The 24,919-nt window shown below is 43.7% G+C and overlaps 1 protein-coding gene across 15 annotated transcripts in view, besides 8 other annotated features; it reads left to right on the top strand.

The window, feature by feature from the left end:
* Positions 1–24,329, top strand: part of RUNX1 (RUNX family transcription factor 1) — a 261,502-nt gene extending 237,173 nt beyond the window's left edge. For all 15 annotated transcript variants that reach the window (XM_011529768.3, XM_011529767.3, XM_005261069.5 and 12 more), the window contains 2 exons: positions 12,668–12,829; positions 19,520–24,329. In XM_011529768.3, coding sequence (XP_011528070.1) covers positions 12,668–12,829; positions 19,520–19,995 — 638 coding nt within the window. In that variant the 3' untranslated portion in view covers positions 19,996–24,329. The remainder of the gene's footprint in view (positions 1–12,667; positions 12,830–19,519) is intronic.
* Positions 3,275–3,774: an enhancer, noted in NCBI's record as "H3K4me1 hESC enhancer chr21:36180653-36181152 (GRCh37/hg19 assembly coordinates)". NCBI's record gives its function as "activates a minimal SCP1, AML or CMV promoter by ChIP-STARR-seq in naive H9 embryonic stem cells {active_cell/tissue: H9 hESC(naive)}" and the evidence as "EXISTENCE:reporter gene assay evidence [ECO:0000049][PMID:30033119]".
* Positions 3,275–4,860: a biological region, named in NCBI's record as "RUNX1 element RE2".
* Positions 3,289–3,799: an enhancer, noted in NCBI's record as "510 bp RUNX1 intron 5.2 fragment used in the pGL3-pro-L1A2G and pGL3-pro-L1G2A reporter constructs". NCBI's record gives its function as "activates an SV40 promoter by reporter assays in K562 cells {active_cell/tissue: K562}" and the evidence as "EXISTENCE:reporter gene assay evidence [ECO:0000049][PMID:26374622]".
* Positions 3,393–3,461: an enhancer, noted in NCBI's record as "69 bp RUNX1 intron 5.2 fragment (20bp+rs2249650(A/G)-rs2268276(G/A)+20bp) used in the pGL3-pro-S1A2G, pGL3-pro-S1G2A, pGL3-pro-S1A2A and pGL3-pro-S1G2G reporter constructs". NCBI's record gives its function as "activates an SV40 promoter by reporter assays in K562 cells {active_cell/tissue: K562}" and the evidence as "EXISTENCE:reporter gene assay evidence [ECO:0000049][PMID:26374622]".
* Positions 3,393–3,461: a protein binding site, noted in NCBI's record as "69 bp EMSA probe (20bp+rs2249650(A/G)-rs2268276(G/A)+20bp)". NCBI's record gives its function as "binds PU.1 in K562 nuclear extract {active_cell/tissue: K562}" and the evidence as "EXISTENCE:protein binding evidence [ECO:0000024][PMID:26374622]".
* Position 3,441: a transcriptional cis regulatory region, noted in NCBI's record as "rs2249650 polymorphism that affects RUNX1 intron 5.2 activity in reporter assays". NCBI's record gives its function as "contributes to RUNX1 intron 5.2 enhancer activity most effectively when present as A vs. G in reporter assays in K562 cells {active_cell/tissue: K562}" and the evidence as "EXISTENCE:reporter gene assay evidence [ECO:0000049][PMID:26374622]".
* Positions 3,661–4,860: an enhancer, noted in NCBI's record as "MED14-independent group 3 enhancer chr21:36179567-36180766 (GRCh37/hg19 assembly coordinates)". NCBI's record gives its function as "activates an origin of replication core promoter dependent on BRD2, BRD4, P300/CBP and CDK7 cofactors, and independent of MED14, by STARR-seq in HCT116 cells {active_cell/tissue: HCT116}" and the evidence as "EXISTENCE:reporter gene assay evidence [ECO:0000049][PMID:35650434]".
* Positions 4,078–4,147: an enhancer, noted in NCBI's record as "active region_18401". NCBI's record gives its function as "activates an Ori minimal core promoter by ATAC-STARR-seq in GM12878 lymphoblastoid cells {active_cell/tissue: GM12878}" and the evidence as "EXISTENCE:reporter gene assay evidence [ECO:0000049][PMID:35858748]".

Raw genomic sequence — 24,919 nt, 5'->3', positions numbered from 1 at the left:
TCAAAACTTGCATAGGAACTTGTCACCAAATGAGGGAACATTTTAGCCTCTTATTCACTCTGTTGCTTGGTGGCAAATATTTAAGAAATTTCAAAAAATAGAGAGGTGCAAGAGAGCTATTTCTCAGGGGCATGGAGGTTTCTTGGGGGCATTTCTCGGGGGTATAGAGGGCTGTTTCTTGGAGGCTATTTCTGTGCATGGAGAAGCCTTGAGTTTCAGAGGTATAATAAACACTACTCCTCCAGAAATATGTCTGTGAAAAATAAGCTGGAGCGGGTGGGTCTGCAGGACACTGTGTTTAGGAATGAAGGCTGCCTGTCCTGCCATCTCTCAGGAGCTCCCATCAGAACAGACAGTAAAGACAGGAATGGCATGTCTCCAGTTGTGGGGCAAGGCCCCTCCTAGTGTGAAGAAAATATACTTCCTGGATCTATCATTATCTCTAGCATATCAGAGGGGGGAATAAAAACAACTGGGGTGGCAAGGCCCTGCTGAAAGAGAAACTCATTGTTCTGCACATTCAGAGACTTCCTAGTTGTAAAGCCGTTCAGAGCTCTTGGAGGTGAAGGGGCAGCCAGGGAATCACATAGAGTGAAAGACCTGTGTGCAGCGGCCAGGTCAGAGGGCGTGTAGAAGACGACATGAAGCATTCCCACAGGGCAGTTCCCTGAGGTTCTGTCCTCCAGCTCTTGCTGCAAGGAATTCTAGAAGCCTTGGCCTGATGTGTGGGAAAGGAAAACAAGGTGAAGAGGATGCAGGTAGGAAAAGAAGAGCTGTGACAAGGTAGTCAGATGGGAGGACTGCATGAGAAAAACAGAGGAAGAGAGCACAGAAGCAGCCCTTTGATTTCACTCGCGTTTATTGAAGGGGACGAGGCACTTCCACTTGGGGAATTCTACTTCCCTTTGTCAGGATATCCTTCAAATTGGGAGCATGGAATGGAAGCTCTTAAAGAAAGAACGGTTGCCATTCATTGTGGGTCACACTTCACAAGACAAAGAGCAGTGAATCCTCGATTTGTAAAATGCAGCTTTCAGAATCTGTGTTGTGGCTGGCACGGTGCAACACTGCTGTGAGGCCCTGACGCAGCTGTGTTCTGCAGGGTGGCTATGGTGCTCCTTGTGAAGGAGGAGGCTGCTGCTCTGCAGGAGGAAGGGCTTATGTTGCATCCTAGCGGTGCATGCTACCCCGCTGGAATAGTGCACCTTGGAACTCTGGCTGCCTAAGGAAGGTCTCATTTCTGGTGGCTTTGTGAGACCAAGCCTCTCCCTCTTCTGTTACCTGGAGCAACAACCAGCTAAGCCAACAGTACTCTCCAGACACTGTTATCCTTTCCTGGAAGGGCAGGGGAGAGAAGACTGTTTCCTGCCTTCAAGGTGCCAGCTACTGCATTGACAATATCGGGCAGAGGGGCACATTTCACCCTCCCAGGAATCTAAGGGACAGATGCAATAACATCTCCTTATGGGGGGAAACTGAGTCTCCAAGGCATTAAGTTACTTGCTTCAGCACACTGTGAGTGAGGGGCCAAGCTAGGGTCTCTGTCCTTACCTCTCAGACTGCAGAACTATGCCCTTATTGTATCCTTACTGAAGCCCTTTTGGCTTTTAGAGAGACAGCTCTGGGATGAGGTTCCCAAATCCTGAAAATGTTTGGGGCCAGAACAAACAAAAGCATCTTTATGTTAAGCCATATTTCATGTTTATTGTTTTGAATTCTCCTTTTCCCCCATTCATATGAGTTTTTCTTCTGATTTTATTAGAATGCCATGCCTCAGAGTTTGCTGCTTAAAACCAGAATCCCTGGCATAAAATCCAATAAGCCTGCCTTAGGGCCCATGTCATATGGAAGCAGAAGACAACAGAGACTGCTTGCTGGGCTTCAAGCCACTCTAGAATTTTTCAAACAGTTCTAACATTTTACAACATCAAAAAAGTGCCAAAGTAAAAACTAAGGCTGCAGCTAGGAGAATGCCCACTGAGAAACCCGTGGTTGGGTTTGTGTAGAGAGGAAGGCTTTTGAGATCACTGCTCCATGCCCCCTCGGCCTCTCCCACCAGAGGTCTGGCTCAGGGACAGCACTTGGGCACAGAGAGCTGGGGCAGTGGCAGAGATGGATGGGGTAGTCACCAGAGGAAGCCCAGGCTGCAAACTGGCATGACACACACCTGTGTGGAACAGATCTCCATCTGAGCTGGGCTCAAAAGCATCGTATTCTCCAATATCGACAACTCATAGGTTAGGGGGTTCATCATTTTGTAGCCTCTGCAGTCCCAGACGTAAAGTCACTTCTTTTTTTTTCTTGCGTGCTGACACCCTAAGGCATTACATGGACCCTGGCAAATCTCAGCCATGTTACTTAACATGATCTGCCCCAGCGACAGCTCTTAACTGTATCTGTTTAGCCAGAGATATCACAGGTGCCTCTCTAGGAAATCCCACCGGCCCCTCATCAGCACAGTGGAGATTGGCTGTAAAGCACGGCCTTCCATGCCCAGCCTGGACTGCAGGTTGGAGATGACAGTCTCCCAACCCAGGCCTTCCAAGCATAGACTATCAAGCGTGCACAATCCTCTTGATATCAGGTGCCACCTCAATGGAGTGTTCTTCAGAAAATTCTGTTTCTTTAGCTGTGTGCAGTCCTGGGAGATGCTGTGCCTCTTCTGCTTGAAGCTTCCCAGCTCCCACTTGAGGTGTCAGTGATTTGTTTTACTGGAGTGAGTATCCTCATTCTCCACCAAGGGTCCAGTCTCAGGATGGAGGCTGCTTGAGATATCCCAGCCCTCAACACAATATTTCTGGCTCATGTTTTTCAAGGAACTAAGCGGGGCAAAGGTGCCAGAGGAGTAGAAGGGAGCAGAAAGTTGTCTTTACCCTCCTGGAGAAGAAGGACATGGAGGAGTGGAAGGAAATAAATAGGGTGGCCATAGAAGAATCTAAACATCCATGATGTGCTGGTGTTGCAGGAATGTACCCAACCTGTCTGTAGAGCTCCTTCAGGCCTGGAAAGTTGTATACGGGGGGCAGAGGTGCAGAAAGTGCACAGTGCAGAAGATCCTTATGGAAAAGATGTCTGCAACAAATGTTTATTTAACAAAGTACAGAGAAAGAATCTGTCTGCAAGGGAGGAGGCAGCAGAAACCAGAAGGTGCCTTCTGTTCCCTCTGAACTATGGTCCCTCCAGCTGTGTGCACTGAAGGCCACTCTCCCTCTGCCTCAGGGACACGATGCCAACTGAGAATGAGACATGTTCTAAAAACACCCATCTTTTCTGGAAGCTAGTGACCTATCCTTGAACCCTCCCTCCAAAAGCACTCTGCCTAAATACGTAGCCCTTTCCCAGACGTGTCTCAGACTCATCTGGCTGAGGGTAGCAGCCTCGTGGTGCAGGGTGAACTGTTTCCCCTGGGAACCGTCTGACAGTGCTAATGAGGAATTGCATTTTGCGTTTATAGAGCACCTTTCATCTGTGGATCTCAAAGCTGCCCCACAAACATTAATTAACTCTCACACCTGTGAGGCAAGTGAGCCTGGTTACCCCCATTTTTAGAGGTGAGGAAACAGAGGTTTGAAAAGAAAAGGACTCCAGGGTGAACCAGCAGGGTTGGGGGCGGCCTGATGTGAGGAACCAGCATTCTTGATTCACAGGGCCCTGACCACAAAGCCACAAAGCTTCCCCGGCGAGGTGATGAATACGGGTCCCGGAAGCAGGGAGTGGTGGAGAGGCGGACACAGGGCTCCCTTCTTCCTTCCCGCAGGCAGCCTGCCACCTCCCAGGCTGGCAGGTCGGCAGTGAGGATGGGATCCCTCAAAACCTGAGGCCTTTAAAACAGCATACCCAGGCAGGGTTCTGCCCCGGCTTGGTCTGTCTGCTTCTCTTCAAAGTAATTGCTGGAACAACGAATGCATCTGAGCTACACATGACTAACCAAGATGTCTGCAGCCGGCCAGAGACGAACGGTTGGCAAATCCTGGAGCTGTTTCACAACCTCCCTTTTTTCCAGGATCCAGAGCTGGTGCTGACTGACTCATGTTATCATGGGATTTCAATGATATAGCAACAGTGTGCTGAGCCGGTGTCTGCTACCTGGGGGTACCTGTAGTAGGAATAGGTGACTGCTCTTCTTACTTGTGCTGTGCCGGAGCTTTGCTCCCTGCTGCAGAGGCCAGAGGAAACACTGCTTCTCAAAGACAGTGGAACTTTCAGGGAAATGTCCCTTTCAGAGCAGAGTCACCCACCCCCAGGGACTCTGAAAGGCCCCTGACATCACACACCTCTGACAGATGTGATGCTGGGAAGCATCTGGGGTCACCCCCTTTGTCTGCAAGGGGAGCCTAGGCCTTTCTTCCCAGGGGTCCCAGACAGTGAGATGCAAACCACCACTGGGGCTCGCCCTAACACATCACCCTGGAAACTGACTCACATCTCTGAGTCCTGAGTCACATCCTGTTGTGTGTTCTGAGGTCTCCAAGAGGGCATTACACCAGCTCCCCATGACTGAGGTGAATCTGGAGGGAACCCTGGGAACGTCCCTACCTTCCTCCAGGATGAAGGAGGGAAAAAATTCCTCCAGGGAAATAACCAGGGCTGCCCCTAGGGTTTATATGTTCACCAAGCTGATTTGCCTTTTTCAAAAATAGATGGTAGAACCCTGTGGTCTATGTGACTTTTATTTTTAAATAGCTCTGAGAGATGACTGAAAGACCTGGCGTTTTAAAGATGTCAGCCACACAATCAAGGAAGGGGCTTTCTAACTATAACCTTCTCCAAGCCCAGGATGAAGGGTGCCACCGCTCAAGGGGTGCTGTTGGAAACCCAGCTTCTGAGGGTGGGTGTTTAAAAGACCCTAGAGTGGACAGTCAGAGGAGGGCCGGGAGGGGTCTCTATCCATCTTCTCCCAGCGCCTGTGGGGAGCACGAGGACAAAGAGGGATGTTTTGAACTTTTCAAAGAACAAGATATTTTGTTCTATTGATTTTGTCTATTATTTTCCTGTACTTAATTTCACTGGTTCCTAGTCTAATTTTTATTATTTCTTCTCTTCTGCTTGCTTGAGGTCTGTATTGCTATTTTCTCCAGTCTCCTGAGGTGGAAGCTTCAGTGACTGATTCTGGATCTTTCTTTTCTAATATATGTATTCAATGCTATAAATTTCCCTCTAAGTACTGTTCTATCTGCATCCAAAAATTGTAATAAGTTGTATTTTCATTTAGTTCAAAACATTTTTTAATTTCTCTTGAGACTTTTTATTTGACTCATGTCTAATGTAGAAGTATGTTGTTTAATCTCCAAATATTTGGAGATTTTCCAGTTATCTATTATTGGCTTTTTAATTTAAATCCATGTGGTCTGAGAAAATACTTTGTATGCTTTCTATACTTTTAAGGATCTTAAAGTGTGTTTTGTGGCCCAGAATATGGCTTATCTTGGTGAATCTTCCATGTGAGCTGAAGAATGTGTATTCTGCTGTTGTTAGAGTATTCCATAAATGTTAATTAGATCAAGTTGACTGGTAGTGCCGTTTAGGTCAACTGTGTCTTAATTTTCTGCCTGCTTGATGTATCAATTACTGAAAGAGGGTTGTTGAAGTCTCCAATTGTAATAGCGTATTTACCTATTTCTCCGTGTAGTTCTATCAGTTTTTGCCTCATGTTTTTTGACACTCAGTTTTTAGGTGGACATATATTAAAGATGCTGTCTTCTTAGAGAATTCACCCACATTATCATCATGTAATTCCCTTCTTTATCCCTGAAAATTGTCCTTCCTCTGAAGTCAGCTTTGTATAAAATTAACATCGCTGCTCTGGCTTTCTTTCAATCAGTGTTAGCATGGTGTACCTTTTTCCATCCCTTTACTTGTAATCTGTATAAATATTTTTATTTAAAATAGGTCCCTTGTAGACAATATGTAGTTGGGTCTTGTCTTTAATCCACACTGCCAATCTCTGTCTTTAAATTGGTGCATTTAGAGTATTCATATTTAACCTAAGTATTAATATAACTGCAGTAGTATCAATCATATTTATAACTTTTATATTTGTTGCACCTGATTCTTCCCCCCACACCTCTTTTTCTACCTTTTATAGGTTTAACTGAACATTTTATATGATTCCATTTTATCTCCTCTGTTAGCATATTAATCATTCTTTTTAAAAATGTTTTTAGTTACTGCCCTAAAGTTTGAAAAGTACATGTATAACTAATCTACATCTAGCATCAAATAACTACCACTTCTTCCTTCCTGTTTATATCATTACTGCCTTTTATTTCATTTATCCACATGCTATAATCACTCAATACTTTGTTACTATTATTGTAAACAGTTATCTTTCAGATCAGTTAAGAAAAATAAAACTTAATTTTACCTTAATATAGTACTTTTCTAATGCTCTTCCTTTTTTATGCAGTTCTTTTTGACATTTCTCATAGGGCAGGTCAGCTGGCAATGAATTATTCCAGTTTTGTTTGTCAGAAAATATCCTTATTTCTTTGAATTTGAAGGATAATTTTGCTGAATGCAGAATAATAGTTTGGTAGCTTTTTTGTTGCAACACTTCATGTATTCTCCTTTCTTTGTGTTTGCATGGTTTCTGAAGAGAAAGATAATGTAATTCTTATCCTTTTTCCTCTATGGATAAGGTGTTGGCTTTTCCCCCTCTCTAGCTTCTTTCAAGATTTTCTCTTCTCTTTGGTTTTTTGCAGTTTAAATATGATATGCCTGGGTGTAGATTTGGTATTTATTATGCTTGGTGTTCTCTGAGCTTTCTGGATCTGTGGTTTGGTATCTGTCATTAATTTTGGAAAATTCATAGCCATTAATACTTCAAGTATTTCTTCCACTGTTTTCTTTTTCTTCTCCATCTGGTATTCCAATTACACATTACATCTTTTGAAACTTTCTCACAGTTCTTGGATGTTCTTTCTTTTTCCTCTTTATCTTTTTGTTTGGTAAGTTTCTGTATCTTCAAGTTCATTGGTTCTTTGCTTTGTCATGTTCTGTCTACTAAGTAAGCCATTCCTCATTTCTGTTAGGGTGCTTTTGGTTTTTAGAATTTGCTTTTGAGTGTTAAGAGTTTCAGGCTGGGCACGGTGGCTCATGCCTGTAATCCCAGCACTTTGGAAGGCCGAAGTGGGTGGATCACCTGGGGTCAGGAGTTCGAGACCAACCTAGCCAACATGGTGAAACCCTGTCTCTACCAAAAATTACAAAAAAAAAGAAAAAATAGCTGGGCGTGGTGGCAGGTGCCTGTAATCCCAGCTACTCGGGAGGCTGAGGAGGAGAATCACTTGAACCCAGGAGGCGGAGGTTGCAGTAAGCCAAGATTGCGCCACTGCACTCCAGTGTGGGCGACAGAGCGAGACACTGTCTCAAAAAAAAAAAAAAAAAAGTTTCCATCTCCCTGCCTACATCATCCATCTCTTCTTGCACCTTGTCTTCTTTTTCCACTAGAGCCATTAACATGTTAATCATTGTTAAATTCCCTGTCTTGTAATTCCAAAATCTGTGTCACATCTGGGTCTGGTTCTGATGCTTGCTTTATCTCTTCAGACTGTGTTTTTTTCTTGCCTTTCTTGTAATTTTTTATTGAAAGTTTAACATGATTTATCAGGCAATAGGAACTTAGTAGGCCTTTAGCGTGAGTTATTATTCTCATGTACCCAAGAGTTGGGCTGTATTTAATGTTTTCAGAAGGTACCAGAGACTTCAAATTCCTCTAGCGTCCTTGTTTTTGTCTCCCATGTCATCTGTGAGCTTCTCTATGAACTCCTCCTTAGTCAGTATGTTGAAGCTCTTTCAGCCATAACCCACTGTTATAATAATATATTGGATCCTGTGAGAATCTGGTGGAGTTCCTGAATGAAAAACCCACAACAGTGCACTTCCTCCTGAAACTGTAGCCCCTAGGAGTGTCTTATTCGCACACTAGTCTGTACTGAGCCTCTAGCAATCTGTCAAAATCACCATTAAGTGTTCTCATCAGTTTATGAATTCAGAAATTCTGCTCCCAGCAAGCAGACCTCACTATGATTCTCTATATTTGCCTGCTTCTCAAAATTTGGGGTTGCAGTTTGCCCTGCAACTTCAGCTTTCCATTGGACTTAAGAAAAGTCATGGATTTTCAGTTTGTTCAGCATTTTTTCTTATAAAAACAAGAGTGATGACTCTCAAGCTCTTTAAATTTTGGAACTGAAACTAGAAGCAACAGGACATTCTGACATGAATTATTTAAAAGGGTCATTGTTGACTCTAGAGACATTTTAATATTGCTGCATCAAAAGATAAAAGCATTCTCCTTTCTTCTTGTGTGATATATGCCGTGTACACCTCTGAGCTCACCACTAACCTCAACTCTACCTTATCCCTAACTTCCCATTTCAAATGGAAGGGAATGGGGATCAAGGAGTAGAAGGCCTGTTTTACCCATTATTGATGATTAAAAAGCTGAAAATAACCCATCACAAAATGGCCTCAGTAAAGTGGCTGCATCAGACATCATTTAGCCTGGAAAACCAGTATGCATAAAGGCTCAAATTTAAATTTTTGAATCCAGTGTTTTTTATTTATTATTATTTTTTTTTTTCTGAGACGGAGTCTGGCTCTGTCACCTAGGCTGGAGTGCAGTGGCACGATCTTGGCTCACTGCAAGCTCCACCTCCTGGGTTCATGCCATTCTCCTGCCTCAGCCTCCCGAGTAGCTGGGACTACAGGCGCCCGCCACCATGCCCGGCTAATTTTTTGTATTTTTAGTAGAGACAGGGTTTCACCGTGTTAGCGAGGATGGTCTCGATCTCCTAACCTCATGATCCACCCGCCTCGGCCTCCCAAAGTGCTGGGATTACAGGTATGAGCCACTGCGCCCGGCCCTGAATCCAGTATTTTTTAATAGAAACATGAGTTGGTTGAGATACTGAGTTCCTGCCTTCTCCATCCTAATCCCAAATTTCCAATCTTTGGAAATTTGCCCCTTTACCATTTAATCTCCTGAGCCCAGCTCCTCTCCAGCCTGAAGAGTGTGTCTGTCAAGACTGTAGCTGTGAACAAAACACTATTACTTGAGCCTTATCCTGGAGCAAATGTGTGTGGTCTCACCAATGAACATCAGATAAGTCCCTTGGCATGGATTTCTTTTCCTTTTTAGTAATACAATCATAAAGGTTATTCAGACTTATTGAGCATTTACTATGGCCAGAAATTGTGATACTTGCTTTCCATATAGTTTATCTCACTTACTCCTATTACCCTTTGAAGTCAGAATTCTAACTATGAATCAGAGAAAATAAGTGACCTGCCTAAGGTCATCCAGTTGGTTTATGGTGAAGGCAGGATGCAAACTGAAATTTGTCTGTGATTTGAGTTCGGTGCTTTCCCTAGTCTCCTCCTCTCAGAGGCAGAACATAAGCATGTAATAGATACCACTAGGGTTCTTGTTTCTACCTTGGGAACAGCTGTTTGCAAGTCCAAATTAGGCAGCTAATCTAGCAGTTAGCCCAGATACAGCCCTTGGGCACCCTAGTAGCTGTAACTTCCAGAAGGCAGGAACCTTCCATTCACTAGTGAGTCCCCAAAACAGTGGCCCAAGTGAAGCAAAAATGTTTGTTGGAAATATGAGTGAATGAAAAAGTAATTTCATGAACACATGAATGAATAAATGAATGAAGCAACACCCAGTATGATGATTAATGCCACAGGAAGATGCCTTTCCAAGCATCACAAGATCCTGGGATCTTCACTGACTGTAAGTGCCTGTGGGGCAGGGACCATGTTGGTCTTATTCATCACTCTCCTGCCAGGTAAATTAGCACATTCCTGGCACACTGTAAATGTTCAATAAGCTTTTGTTCTTTTAGATGGATTGACTTATCAGAGGCAACTCTTTCAAGAACAAGTAGCCCTGTGCTCTGGAGAATGATTTACAGTGGTTCTCTTCCTCAGCCTGGGGCCTTTTCTGGATAACTCCCATCGTACTCTCCTCTACTTCCTCTTCCTAGAATACACAAATTTATTATTACAGGCACCACTCTTCACCCCACATCTGATTCTTCCCTGACTCTGCTTAATGTACAAGTAAAGCAAAGAAATACTGTGTAGGACCTATTGGAATTAGAATCCTGCTCTGTCACCATTGGAAAGGATTTAGGGATCACCTCCTTCGGAGGTGAGAATAAGAAAGTGTCAGTGAGTAATCCAATGTCACCCAGTTGCTCACCAGACAGAAAGACCAAGAGTTCACCTCTCCTGCCTATTAGTCCAGTGCTCGGGTGGCCCATGAGTTCATGTTGGCCCTGTCAGACCAAAGACAGTAATGAATATTAAACCCAGAATGCACCATATTATCAGGCCTTTTTTGTTTTTGTTTTCTATTAGTAACACAGGTAGAAGAGGAAACAACTAAAACCCCAACATTAGAGGCTCACCATCCCCACCTTCTGGCCCACCACTGGCAATGAACCCAAGCACAGGTCACTGTGGTCTCATGAAAGAAAACTGATGTGGGGGTTGGGTGGGCTTCAGGGTGTTGACTGCCATCTTCCCCTCCAGCACCTGAAAAGCTAAGTTATGGTGTGAAGTCAGAAAATGTGGAATCTGCAAGCCTGTCTTTAAAAAACAAAAAAACTCATAGAACTTGGACTTTAATCATAAAGATCATTTTACCAAAGCATATTTTTTAAAGGCTGTGAAATATTATGCAACGTTTGCATGGTTTAATTATGAGTTTAGAAAAGCCTAGCACGACTTTTTCACTACAGTAAAACATGACGGAGCATGAATCATGGCATAGTACTTTATGCTTAGTGTGGCTTTAGACATGGGGTTAGAGGTGTGAGGCTGTCTACACAACAAGGCGTGAATTACTGTACTGCAGTTCACACCCCGGGGGGCTTTATGACAGTTCTGAAACCTCTTTTGTTTGCTTTTAAAATGATTAAAGTATTGGAGTACTATATATTCACTTAGTAAATGTGTGTATCTAGTATATACGCATGTCTTATACAAAATATCTAAGTATATGATTTTTTTTTCACTTGGAGCAAAATACTTGCAGTAGCATGGGGATATTGAACCGTCTGCTATTTCTGTTTGCCTTTAGTCATTGGAAACACTGTTAGCTGTAAGATTACACAGGAGCTTCAGCCAAGGTTGAACATTTATTTTCTGCTGAGTTTAAAATGGACCAGCTCCTTTTGTTCCTTGCCAGCTCTTTAAATCCTCTAAAATTTGGAATAAAATGAAGACCTTTCTTTAATATTAGATTTCAAAGATTCCAAGTTAAACTATTTGCCTGGGAACTACCAGGTTTTTTAAACTTAAAAAATCAGTTATTTTCACTCACACACAAAAAAGAAAGAAATGAATCAGTATGAGGGAGGGAGGGAGGCTGTCAGGAGAATACTGGGGAGGAAGACTTGGGTCTCCAAATGTCTGATTCTGTTATCCACTGTGGCAGCTTCAAAGAGATAAACAGAAAGGCAAACTTGAACTGCTGGAAATGAAAAGCCCCTGGAGGAAGCAGATCTGAATATTTTATAATGAGCAGAAATAGCTCATTTCTTTATGTCCTGACCTATACAAAACTTATACCCAGTATTTTCCTAAAGAAGTCTGCTCTTCCTACACTGCTACCTGCAGGATCATGAAGCTCTGGCTATGAAGACCCTTGGGAGTTACGGTAGTTCACTGTTATCTTTGTCCACAAAGTTGGGACATAAAGAGAAAATTAATGTTTAACTCCAAAGAAATGTAAAACTGTCTTCTAGTGGGACAGTGTCCAATTTAAGTTTCCTTACACATTTGCCTAAGAATAGCGTTGGTTTTCCTCCCCTTTTCATCTGCAAACAGTATGATGCTTTTGAAAATTAAGACTCCTTTGAACGCTGGAGTCAAATTGACAAAATCCACTTTGTCTAAATCTTTTGAAGTCAGACTTTTGTCTCTTCTCTATCCCAGGCCTCTTATAATGGCAATCTATAAAATACCTGCTAAAAACTCTGACTTTTAAAAGTTGCAAACTCGAAGTCCTGAAAAGGAACAGAAGGCTTGGGTTGATAGGGCCAGTTCTACTGCTGGGTTTGTGAACTAGTCATTAGACCTCATTGCCGGTTTCCCAGCCAGACCTTCTTTCCTGTCATCCTTGGGAGAGAATTCGCCTTACTATAAAACATTTACCAGCCCATGGAATACTTTTTGCCAAAGGTAAAGGTATAAAAAAAAAGCCCAAAACTCTACGTTCTTACCGAACACAGACAGGTGATCCCCTGAGTTTATAAAATGTTTCTGATGATGATAATTGTAATTATTGGCAAAGCTGAAATCATGTCAGCAGTCATATGATACTTGAAGTTCTCAAGTGCTGCAGTTCAACAGTCTGGACATTAATACTTCTACCTTGAAAGTGTAATCCATTCCTCTCATCATTGTTAGCATGATTAAATAAAACCTTTGGAAGGAATAGTTATCAGGTGAAAATCTCCAAGAATCAGTCTCTTTTGGGGGAAAATAATCCAACAGAGGCAGATACTTGGACTTGAGTAGGCTTATTAAACCCTGGTACATAGGCCACATACATGTATGTGACATATTTGAACAAGGGCCACTCATTTCTTATTAAAAGACATTTTTTAAATCCCACCCCACTTTACATATAATTGACCTTTCTGATTCTCTTCAGATACAAGGCAGATCCAACCATCCCCACCGTGGTCCTACGATCAGTCCTACCAATACCTGGGATCCATTGCCTCTCCTTCTGTGCACCCAGCAACGCCCATTTCACCTGGACGTGCCAGCGGCATGACAACCCTCTCTGCAGAACTTTCCAGTCGACTCTCAAGTAAGCCACTTGAAAACACATTCTTTGCAGCTGAGCTGGGGTGGAAGGTCCAGGAGACTAGAGGTGCATGAAGGAGTTGGCAGAACATTATTGAGTAAAACATGGTTTAAAGGTGACCTATCTCTACTCTGAGTCCCATGCCCATGCACTGATTTTCTTGGATACATAAGAGGCAGAGATTGTGGATGTGAAGGCAGAAGTGGCTTGGAGAAGTAGGTTCCTTAGACATCTAAAGTTGTTCACATTTGGCAAGAAAGGATGGTGACTGAAGGGTTAAGAACAATATAAAAAGCCAAAGTTTTCAACTTTTAGGACTCATTATTCCAAATGAATTCTGGACTAATGGGACTGGTCCATGCGGTGGTGGTAAATTTTCACAGATCACATGGACAGCACACGGGAGTACATGTGGAATGGGAAATAAATACAGCCGCCCCTTGGTATCCATGGAGGACTGGTTCCAGGACCCCCCATGGATACCAAAACCCATGGATGCTCAAGTCCCTCATATAAAATGGTATATTTATATATAACATATATATCCTCCCATGTATTTAAATCATCCCTAGATTACTCGTAATACCTAATAAAATGTAAATGCTATGTAAATACTTGTTATACTGCATTGTTTAGGGAATGACAAGAAGAAAAGTCTGTATATGTCTAATACAGACACAACCATCCTTTTTTTTAATAATATTTTTGATCTACAGTTGGTTAAACAGGTGCAGAACCCACGGATATAGAGAACCGACTGTATACCCCAAATTAGACATTCCAACTAAGCGCTGTTCATACAGAGGCCAGAGGAACAGCGTGAAAAACTCAGGTGTCATGGTTAGCATAATTGTTGTTAATATGAGCTCATTAAGTATTAGTCATTTAACCTATGAGCCCTTTGGGCTTGGCACTCACCTTTGCTCGTGGGCAGGGAAATCAGAGTTACAGAGAAAAATTCCTTTGTTGAAGGCAAAAGAAGAAACTTAGTGTTTGGGGCTTTGAAATTGGAGCTGCACCAAACTGTGAAAATACTTCAGAGAACTTCAGTGTTATGATGCCTGCAAACACACTCGCATGTGTGTTGGGGGAACGGGGCGGGTCTTGCTTTTCAGCTCTTGGGATCAAATTATAGCAGATTAGGGGGCAGGCACAGGGGCAGTGGAGTCATGTCTGCCATTTTAAATGTTGTGTAATGTTGTGTTTTCCAGACAGTTGTGATTACTTCAGGTTTCACCAGATGCCTTAGCTGCTGTTCAGAGCTTCACAGAATGCCTTCTAAGAGCTTCACAACGGCAGTACTATTGACATTTGGGGCCAAATAATTCTTTGTTGGGGGGGGTCTGTCCTGAGCATCGGAGAATATTTAGCAGCATCCTTGGCCTCTAGATGCCAATAGCATCCCCCTCACCCCAGTTAGGACAATAAAAAATGTTTCCAGACATTGCCAAATTTCCCAAGGGGCAAAACTGTCCCCAGGTGAGAACCACTGCCTTCCAGTGTTCTTGGGTGGTACAGTAAAATAGGAAAACCAACTTAAGTGCTTGGTTTTCACATTACTTTTGGCCATTAATGCCAATATTTTCATGGTACATTCTGCTCCAAGGCATTGAGAGTAGCACAGGTATCTTGGCATCTTGTTTAGCTTGTGGTTTCTAGAAGCTTATCCCTCAAGAACAAAGGCACTTGTCAGCTTTTACTGATTGTTCTCAGGGCACCCCTCTGCACACCGGCTACGGTCTTCACCTGAAATAATGCCTGTTCTCCTTCAAATGTTCCTGCTATGGGTCTATCCTTTGGAATTTATTACATAAGTCTTTTGACTTGGTCATCACCCAAGATCAGCACCTTATAGTCCAAGAACCCTAGGGGCCAACTCCTCCAGCTGACTGGTGTTCAGATGGTAGGGTGACTTTTTAAATAAAAGGAATGAGTAACATGTGCACTCCAAAGTCCCATATCACAGTTACATTTGTGAATATCCTGGACTTCAATCACCCAAGGAGTAAGAGAGAACATTTTATGGCATGGGAGTGTGAAGTAGATAAAAACCATGCCTCATTTCAGAACCCAAGAATGATTCTTTTCTTTTTGGAGGGAGGACAGAATTCCAGATGAGCTTTCACAGTGGCATAGAACAGTATGGGAGACTGCTCTTCAATTTGGCAGAACTCCCTCTGAGAAATCAAGCCTGGAGCACAGGCCTGAAAAGTGTTGTCATAAACCTGGAGGCAGGAGGGGGGTGGAATACATAAAAGGAAAGTGGCTGCCTGGCCGACAGCTTTGAGAACCTGACACTGCTCTGTGGCTGCTTTGCCTTTTAATCCAGCCCGACAGCTTTGTGCTCTGCCCCTCTTCCCGGCCCCAGCCCCACCTGGGCTTCCTTCTGCGCTGGGGACTTGGACTCTGTCTGTCTCTCTCTCTCTATCCTTTGCAGACAGACTCCACACCTTGTCTGAAAAGAGTTGTCATCTAGAGGTTTACTTTTTTTTTTCTTTTTCAAAAAAAATTAATGTTTAGCTGCCAACCTGGGCGACAGACAGCATGCATTAATCTGAGTCATGCAAAAGCTCCTTTTAAGGCAGCCATTACCTGCTCAGGTTGTTTAATCCTCTGGGGGCAGTAGGAGGGGCCCTGTAGCGAGGCTGCTTTCATCCATGTCAAGCTGGAGAGCGAAGACTTGAGCTGTCATGGCAAATATTTAGCCCCATCAATGGGAAAACACTTCCAACCAAAATACCTGGACCTCCTAAGCCCCAGATTTCCTACTCTTAAAAACTCTCTGTGAATATCAGGGGATCCCAACTCCCCCCACACTTCTGCTGAATCAGGGGACACCAGGCCAGCCAAAAGGACAGAAGAGCTACAGCTGGATGGGTGAACTGCGCAGACTGATGGGTTTGAATAAGGGATCTGAGACAAGACACAAAGATGAAAACCAACATTTGAATATAGCATTTGAATCTGAGCATATCTAGAAGGCCTAAGATATTGTATTATCAAAATGTGTGTAAAAAAGATAGTTTGACCAAATGGATGGTCTTTTGTAGTATGACGTTGCTCATGTGTACATAGAAGAAGGATCACAGGCAGCATTGCAGCTCTTTCTTTTGGATGTTCTCCTCACAAGTGAAAGAACTATTTTCCCCCAACAGCTGAGACCATAACATCATTCCAGTACTTATGTCCATGACAAATCACGGACTCACTCTGGATTCCAGTAACTTGGTACCATCACCACATTACCATGTAGTAGTTGGAACCTACTGGCAGAGCATGTCCAGACATTGCTGTAAAACAGGGTGACCTTTCGTTCATTTTCCAGTGGATTCACCTTTTTGTCTCAGGGCAAATGAAGCAAGAGGAATAATGGGCAGAGTCATTTATTTGTGTCCAGAGTATTGCATCAGATGACAACAAACTGACTGTATTTGCCTAATGCTTTTCCTCCTGTCCCAGCTTCTCCGTAGACTCTATAAATCTAAATGGAAAAATGGAGTAAAGCTTCCTGTTAACTCTCAAACATGTCACAGCTCTCCATGTCAGCAAAAACAAGTGACACAGGGCTTGCTCACAGATGGCCCCAAAGAGCGGGCAGGGATGAACCCTGTGGAATGAGGTGTGGCCTGGCTCGAGAATGACTAGAGTGTGGCCAAGGAAGGGCAGCCTCAGAACCACTGTCCGTTTACAACGTTTTCCCTGCCCACATGTCTGCCTGGCTTTGAAAAGATTAACAGGAGTGTTTGTTTGAAAGTCAGACTCCTGGTTTCCTCATTAGTGAAGGGATCTGCTACAGACTTGGGCTGTTTCTATAAACTTTAATTACCTCTGATGAGGAGTGTATCCCCTCATCACATTCACCCCAAAGGTACAGAGGAGTTCATTTTTAAAAATGTGTTAGAGCAATAAAAGGCCATTAGAGGGAGGGAGGATGGGGTGTGGAAGAGACGAGAGAGCGAGCGAGAGAGAGAGAAAACACACTAGCTCTCCCTGCTGGAATAATAGGCTTGAAATATGAGGAAGTTGATCAACTGCCGCTGCCTTCCAAAAACAGATTAATCCACCTTGGTAGCTTTCCTTTCAGAGCAAGCTTTTGGCTCTGTCGACTTTCTCTATCAGCCTGAACTCAAAAGGACACAGGCCACATGCCATCTGAGCTTAAGAGTTATTTTGTGTGTTGATCTGAGAACTTCACATTTTAAAACAATGAATTCATGTTTCTACTGTTTGTTGCTGTCTGTGGATTTGCTGATATAAAGAGGAGAGTCCTAGCCTGGTCATTTAATGAATAATTCTAAGGAACCTGAACTTCTCCAGGGTGCCCTTCTACATCTGCAGTGGTGGTTCTCAGCTGGGGTGACTTTGCTTCCGTCACCCCACCCGCAGGATATCTGGCAATGTCTGGAGACATTCTGAGTTGTCACAAGAGGGGCGGGCGATGCTACTAACACCTAATGGGTAAAGCAGAGATGCTGCCACACATCCTACGATGAACGAGACAGCCCCCTCCACCCCAGCAAATCATGATCTGGCCCAAAATGTCAACAGTGTCAACAGTTGAGAAACTCTGATCTACAGATATAGGGAACCCTGCCTAATACACAAATCCTCCGTAGTTCCCAAGGGCGGCCTGTAGGTAAGAAAAATGCAGAGAGAGCCAGTGAACCACAGGACAGCCCTAAAGCCAGTTGGTGAAACTGTAAATCCATAATCCTAACAAAATAATGTACAGTCGTAACAAAGTGAGTTTTAGAGACAAAGCTTTACAATTTCTGGTAAAATTTCCACATGTGCAAAAAACAGAGTAGATAAATCAAGGTCCTACATCTACTTGTGTTAACAAACTAGTGAAGTGCATAATAGAGAATACCAGGTGAACTCAAGGCAGTACTGTTTCTAAAATTGTGGAACTAGTATGAAAGTAGATATGGAGAGGAGGAGTGGTAATGGTATTCCCTGACATTCGCTCAGCAGTTGCTACTGAGCCATGCATTCGCTTAAATACTAGGAAATTATCAATTTTTCAACTGTCGAAGGCCTATAAAAATGGCAATTTTCTATCATTCAACCTAAATACTATGTGTAATGTATTATTATATATTAATATTGTTAGGATATATATTATGTATAACATATTGTGTTAGTAGTAACATATTTGTGCATCCTTTACATTAGTGTCAAATTATCATCTGCTATATTAATATCACAGATTAATTTATATTATTGGTATATTAATATATTGATCAAATAGAGGGTCAGCAAACTTTTTTCTGTAAGGGGCCAGAGAATAAATATTTTAGGGCTGGGCACGGTGGTTCATGCCTGTAATCCCAGCACTTTGGGAGGCTGAGGCAGGTGGATCACTTGAGGTCAGGAATTCGAGACCTGCCTAGCCAACGTGGTGAAATCTCATCTCCACTAAAAATACAAAAATTGGCCAGGCCTGGTGGCGGGCGCCTGTAATCCCAGCTACTCGGGAGGCTGAGGCAGTAGAATTGCTTGAGCCCAGGAGGTGGTGGGTGCAGTGAGCCGAGATCACACCACTGCACTCCAGCCTTGGTGACAGAGCGAGACTTTGTCTCCAAAAAAAAAAAAAAGAATAAATATTTGCTCTGTGGCTCCTGCAGTCCCTATACTGACCACCTGACTTTACAGTAGTGGCTCTAAAGCAACCACAGGCAGTACATGAAAGAATGAGTGAGGATGTGTTCCGAAGTATGGATGGACACTGAAGTTTGAATTTCCTGTCATTTTAACAGGTCAGGAAGTATTCTTTTTTGGATTTTTTTTTCAACCATTTAAAAAATGTAAAATGCATTCTTACCTCCTGGGACATGCAAAAATGCCAGATTTGGCTGGCAGGCTGCAGTTTGCCAACCCTAGGATTATATCAACATTTTATATACGTTATACATATTATAGTATATACTATTGCACATTATATCTATACTATACATATTATGCTATACTACATCATTTCATATATCATGTCATATTACATTACATGATATTCTATATTACCGTATTATATTACTGTATATTATACCATCCTCCTGGGCAGTAGCAGCCTCCTGATCCCCGTCCTCCTGGGCATAGCATCCTGGGTGACCTCATCTTTTTGGGTGGCAGATTCTGGGTAGAAACCCTCTCCCTAGGCAGCAGCATCCTCAGTAGCCCCCATCCTCCCAGGTGGTAGCAATCCTGTGTGGTTCCAATCTTCCTGGGCGGTAAATTCTGATAGAAACCCATCTCCCTGGACAGTAGCATCCTGGGTGTCCCCCGTCCTCCTAGGCGGTAGCATCCTGGGTGGTCTCCATCCTCCCAGGTGGTGTCATCCTGGGTGGTCTCCGTCCTCTCAGGAGGTGGCATCCTGAGTGGTCCCCGACCTCCTGGGCATAGCATCATGGGTAGTCCCCATCCTCTTGGGAGGTGACATGCTGGGTGATCCTCGTCATCTCAGGAGGTGGCATCCTGGGTGGTCCCTGTCCCCCTGGGTATAGCATCCTGGGTAATCCTCGTCCTCTTGGGAGTAGCATCCCGGGTGGTCCCCGTCCTCCCCAGCAGTAGCATCCTGGGTGGCTTCCCATCCTCCTAGGCGGTATCATCCTGGGTAGCCCCCTGGGGCAGAGGGAAGAGCTGTGGCCTCCGCAACCTCCTACTCACTTCCGCTCCGTTCTCTTGCCCGCCCTGCAGCGGCACCCGACCTGACAGCGTTCAGCGACCCGCGCCAGTTCCCCGCGCTGCCCTCCATCTCCGACCCCCGCATGCACTATCCAGGCGCCTTCACCTACTCCCCGACGCCGGTCACCTCGGGCATCGGCATCGGCATGTCGGCCATGGGCTCGGCCACGCGCTACCACACCTACCTGCCGCCGCCCTACCCCGGCTCGTCGCAAGCGCAGGGAGGCCCGTTCCAAGCCAGCTCGCCCTCCTACCACCTGTACTACGGCGCCTCGGCCGGCTCCTACCAGTTCTCCATGGTGGGCGGCGAGCGCTCGCCGCCGCGCATCCTGCCGCCCTGCACCAACGCCTCCACCGGCTCCGCGCTGCTCAACCCCAGCCTCCCGAACCAGAGCGACGTGGTGGAGGCCGAGGGCAGCCACAGCAACTCCCCCACCAACATGGCGCCCTCCGCGCGCCTGGAGGAGGCCGTGTGGAGGCCCTACTGAGGCGCCAGGCCTGGCCCGGCTGGGCCCCGCGGGCCGCCGCCTTCGCCTCCGGGCGCGCGGGCCTCCTGTTCGCGACAAGCCCGCCGGGATCCCGGGCCCTGGGCCCGGCCACCGTCCTGGGGCCGAGGGCGCCCGACGGCCAGGATCTCGCTGTAGGTCAGGCCCGCGCAGCCTCCTGCGCCCAGAAGCCCACGCCGCCGCCGTCTGCTGGCGCCCCGGCCCTCGCGGAGGTGTCCGAGGCGACGCACCTCGAGGGTGTCCGCCGGCCCCAGCACCCAGGGGACGCGCTGGAAAGCAAACAGGAAGATTCCCGGAGGGAAACTGTGAATGCTTCTGATTTAGCAATGCTGTGAATAAAAAGAAAGATTTTATACCCTTGACTTAACTTTTTAACCAAGTTGTTTATTCCAAAGAGTGTGGAATTTTGGTTGGGGTGGGGGGAGAGGAGGGATGCAACTCGCCCTGTTTGGCATCTAATTCTTATTTTTAATTTTTCCGCACCTTATCAATTGCAAAATGCGTATTTGCATTTGGGTGGTTTTTATTTTTATATACGTTTATATAAATATATATAAATTGAGCTTGCTTCTTTCTTGCTTTGACCATGGAAAGAAATATGATTCCCTTTTCTTTAAGTTTTATTTAACTTTTCTTTTGGACTTTTGGGTAGTTGTTTTTTTTTGTTTTGTTTTGTTTTTTTGAGAAACAGCTACAGCTTTGGGTCATTTTTAACTACTGTATTCCCACAAGGAATCCCCAGATATTTATGTATCTTGATGTTCAGACATTTATGTGTTGATAATTTTTTAATTATTTAAATGTACTTATATTAAGAAAAATATCAAGTACTACATTTTCTTTTGTTCTTGATAGTAGCCAAAGTTAAATGTATCACATTGAAGAAGGCTAGAAAAAAAGAATGAGTAATGTGATCGCTTGGTTATCCAGAAGTATTGTTTACATTAAACTCCCTTTCATGTTAATCAAACAAGTGAGTAGCTCACGCAGCAACGTTTTTAATAGGATTTTTAGACACTGAGGGTCACTCCAAGGATCAGAAGTATGGAATTTTCTGCCAGGCTCAACAAGGGTCTCATATCTAACTTCCTCCTTAAAACAGAGAAGGTCAATCTAGTTCCAGAGGGTTGAGGCAGGTGCCAATAATTACATCTTTGGAGAGGATTTGATTTCTGCCCAGGGATTTGCTCACCCCAAGGTCATCTGATAATTTCACAGATGCTGTGTAACAGAACACAGCCAAAGTAAACTGTGTAGGGGAGCCACATTTACATAGGAACCAAATCAATGAATTTAGGGGTTACGATTATAGCAATTTAAGGGCCCACCAGAAGCAGGCCTCGAGGAGTCAATTTGCCTCTGTGTGCCTCAGTGGAGACAAGTGGGAAAACATGGTCCCACCTGTGCGAGACCCCCTGTCCTGTGCTGCTCACTCAACAACATCTTTGTGTTGCTTTCACCAGGCTGAGACCCTACCCTATGGGGTATATGGGCTTTTACCTGTGCACCAGTGTGACAGGAAAGATTCATGTCACTACTGTCCGTGGCTACAATTCAAAGGTATCCAATGTCGCTGTAAATTTTATGGCACTATTTTTATTGGAGGATTTGGTCAGAATGCAGTTGTTGTACAACTCATAAATACTAACTGCTGATTTTGACACATGTGTGCTCCAAATGATCTGGTGGTTATTTAACGTACCTCTTAAAATTCGTTGAAACGATTTCAGGTCAACTCTGAAGAGTATTTGAAAGCAGGACTTCAGAACAGTGTTTGATTTTTATTTTATAAATTTAAGCATTCAAATTAGGCAAATCTTTGGCTGCAGGCAGCAAAAACAGCTGGACTTATTTAAAACAACTTGTTTTTGAGTTTTCTTATATATATATTGATTATTTGTTTTACACACATGCAGTAGCACTTTGGTAAGAGTTAAAGAGTAAAGCAGCTTATGTTGTCAGGTCGTTCTTATCTAGAGAAGAGCTATAGCAGATCTCGGACAAACTCAGAATATATTCACTTTCATTTTTGACAGGATTCCCTCCACAACTCAGTTTCATATATTATTCCGTATTACATTTTTGCAGCTAAATTACCATAAAATGTCAGCAAATGTAAAAATTTAATTTCTGAAAAGCACCATTAGCCCATTTCCCCCAAATTAAACGTAAATGTTTTTTTTCAGCACATGTTACCATGTCTGACCTGCAAAAATGCTGGAGAAAAATGAAGGAAAAAATTATGTTTTTCAGTTTAATTCTGTTAACTGAAGATATTCCAACTCAAAACCAGCCTCATGCTCTGATTAGATAATCTTTTACATTGAACCTTTACTCTCAAAGCCATGTGTGGAGGGGGCTTGTCACTATTGTAGGCTCACTGGATTGGTCATTTAGAGTTTCACAGACTCTTACCAGCATATATAGTATTTAATTGTTTCAAAAAAAATCAAACTGTAGTTGTTTTGGCGATAGGTCTCACGCAACACATTTTTGTATGTGTGTGTGTGTGCGTGTGTGTGTGTGTGTGTGAAAAATTGCATTCATTGACTTCAGGTAGATTAAGGTATCTTTTTATTCATTGCCCTCAGGAAAGTTAAGGTATCAATGAGACCCTTAAGCCAATCATGTAATAACTGCATGTGTCTGGTCCAGGAGAAGTATTGAATAAGCCATTTCTACTGCTTACTCATGTCCCTATTTATGATTTCAACATGGATACATATTTCAGTTCTTTCTTTTTCTCACTATCTGAAAATACATTTCCCTCCCTCTCTTCCCCCCAATATCTCCCTTTTTTTCTCTCTTCCTCTATCTTCCAAACCCCACTTTCTCCCTCCTCCTTTTCCTGTGTTCTCTTAAGCAGATAGCACATACCCCCACCCAGTACCAAATTTCAGAACACAAGAAGGTCCAGTTCTTCCCCCTTCACATAAAGGAACATGGTTTGTCAGCCTTTCTCCTGTTTATGGGTTTCTTCCAGCAGAACAGAGACATTGCCAACCATATTGGATCTGCTTGCTGTCCAAACCAGCAAACTTTCCTGGGCAAATCACAATCAGTGAGTAAATAGACAGCCTTTCTGCTGCCTTGGGTTTCTGTGCAGATAAACAGAAATGCTCTGATTAGAAAGGAAATGAATGGTTCCACTCAAATGTCCTGCAATTTAGGATTGCAGATTTCTGCCTTGAAATACCTGTTTCTTTGGGACATTCCGTCCTGATGATTTTTATTTTTGTTGGTTTTTATTTTTGGGGGGAATGACATGTTTGGGTCTTTTATACATGAAAATTTGTTTGACAATAATCTCACAAAACATATTTTACATCTGAACAAAATGCCTTTTTGTTTACCGTAGCGTATACATTTGTTTTGGGATTTTTGTGTGTTTGTTGGGAATTTTGTTTTTAGCCAGGTCAGTATTGATGAGGCTGATCATTTGGCTCTTTTTTTCCTTCCAGAAGAGTTGCATCAACAAAGTTAATTGTATTTATGTATGTAAATAGATTTTAAGCTTCATTATAAAATATTGTTAATGCCTATAACTTTTTTTCAATTTTTTTGTGTGTGTTTCTAAGGACTTTTTCTTAGGTTTGCTAAATACTGTAGGGAAAAAAATGCTTCTTTCTACTTTGTTTATTTTAGACTTTAAAATGAGCTACTTCTTATTCACTTTTGTAAACAGCTAATAGCATGGTTCCAATTTTTTTTAAGTTCACTTTTTTTGTTCTAGGGGAAATGAATGTGCAAAAAAAGAAAAAGAACTGTTGGTTATTTGTGTTATTCTGGATGTATAAAAATCAATGGAAAAAAATAAACTTTCAAATTGAAATGACGGTATAACACATCTACTGAAAAAGCAACGGGAAATGTGGTCCTATTTAAGCCAGCCCCCACCTAGGGTCTATTTGTGTGGCAGTTATTGGGTTTGGTCACAAAACATCCTGAAAATTCGTGCGTGGGCTTCTTTCTCCCTGGTACAAACGTATGGAATGCTTCTTAAAGGGGAACTGTCAAGCTGGTGTCTTCAGCCAGATGACATGAGAGAATATCCCAGAACCCTCTCTCCAAGGTGTTTCTAGATAGCACAGGAGAGCAGGCACTGCACTGTCCACAGTCCACGGTACACAGTCGGGTGGGCCGCCTCCCCTCTCCTGGGAGCATTCGTCGTGCCCAGCCTGAGCAGGGCAGCTGGACTGCTGCTGTTCAGGAGCCACCAGAGCCTTCCTCTCTTTGTACCACAGTTTCTTCTGTAAATCCAGTGTTACAATCAGTGTGAATGGCAAATAAACAGTTTGACAAGTACATACACCATATCCAATTGGTTTTGTCTTTCTCTGAGATGGAGGGTTGGGAAACTGAGTAAGGCCCACTGCACACACTAGGAAGATACCTCCAGTGAACAGCTTCAGGCTGAAGCTATGTCCTCACCCCCGGTGCTCCTAGCACACTCTGGCTTCTGAAGGCATGAGGGCCTGGAAAAGGCGCAGGCTCCCAGGGTTGCTTCTTTGCATATGAAAGAGCACTGAAGCATGTTTTAATGCTTGTTTTAAAAAATAATAATAGGCCGGCGCGGTGGCTCACGCCTGTAATCCCAGCACGTTGGGAGGCCGAGGCGGGCGGATCATGAGGTCAGGAGATCGCGACCATCCTGGCTAACACGGTGAAACTCTGTCTCTACTAAAAATATAAAAAATTAGCCTGGCGTGGTGGCGGCTGTAGTCCCAACTACTCAGGAGGCTGAGGCAGAAGAATGGCGTGAACCCGGGAGGCGGAAGTTGCAGTGAGCCGAGATCGCGCCACTGCACTCTAGCCTGGGCGACAGAGCGAGACTCCATCTCAAAAATAATAATAATAATAAAGAAACTAAAAAGAGTTACATGACACTAGCCAACCCAAAGTGGAA

The sequence above is a fragment of the Homo sapiens genome, chromosome 21 (genome assembly GCF_000001405.40).
Source record: "Homo sapiens chromosome 21, GRCh38.p14 Primary Assembly".
Lineage (NCBI taxonomy): Eukaryota > Metazoa > Chordata > Mammalia > Primates > Hominidae > Homo > Homo sapiens.
Note: the sequence above shows the minus strand (reverse complement) of the source record. Positions and strands in the feature narration are given on the sequence as shown.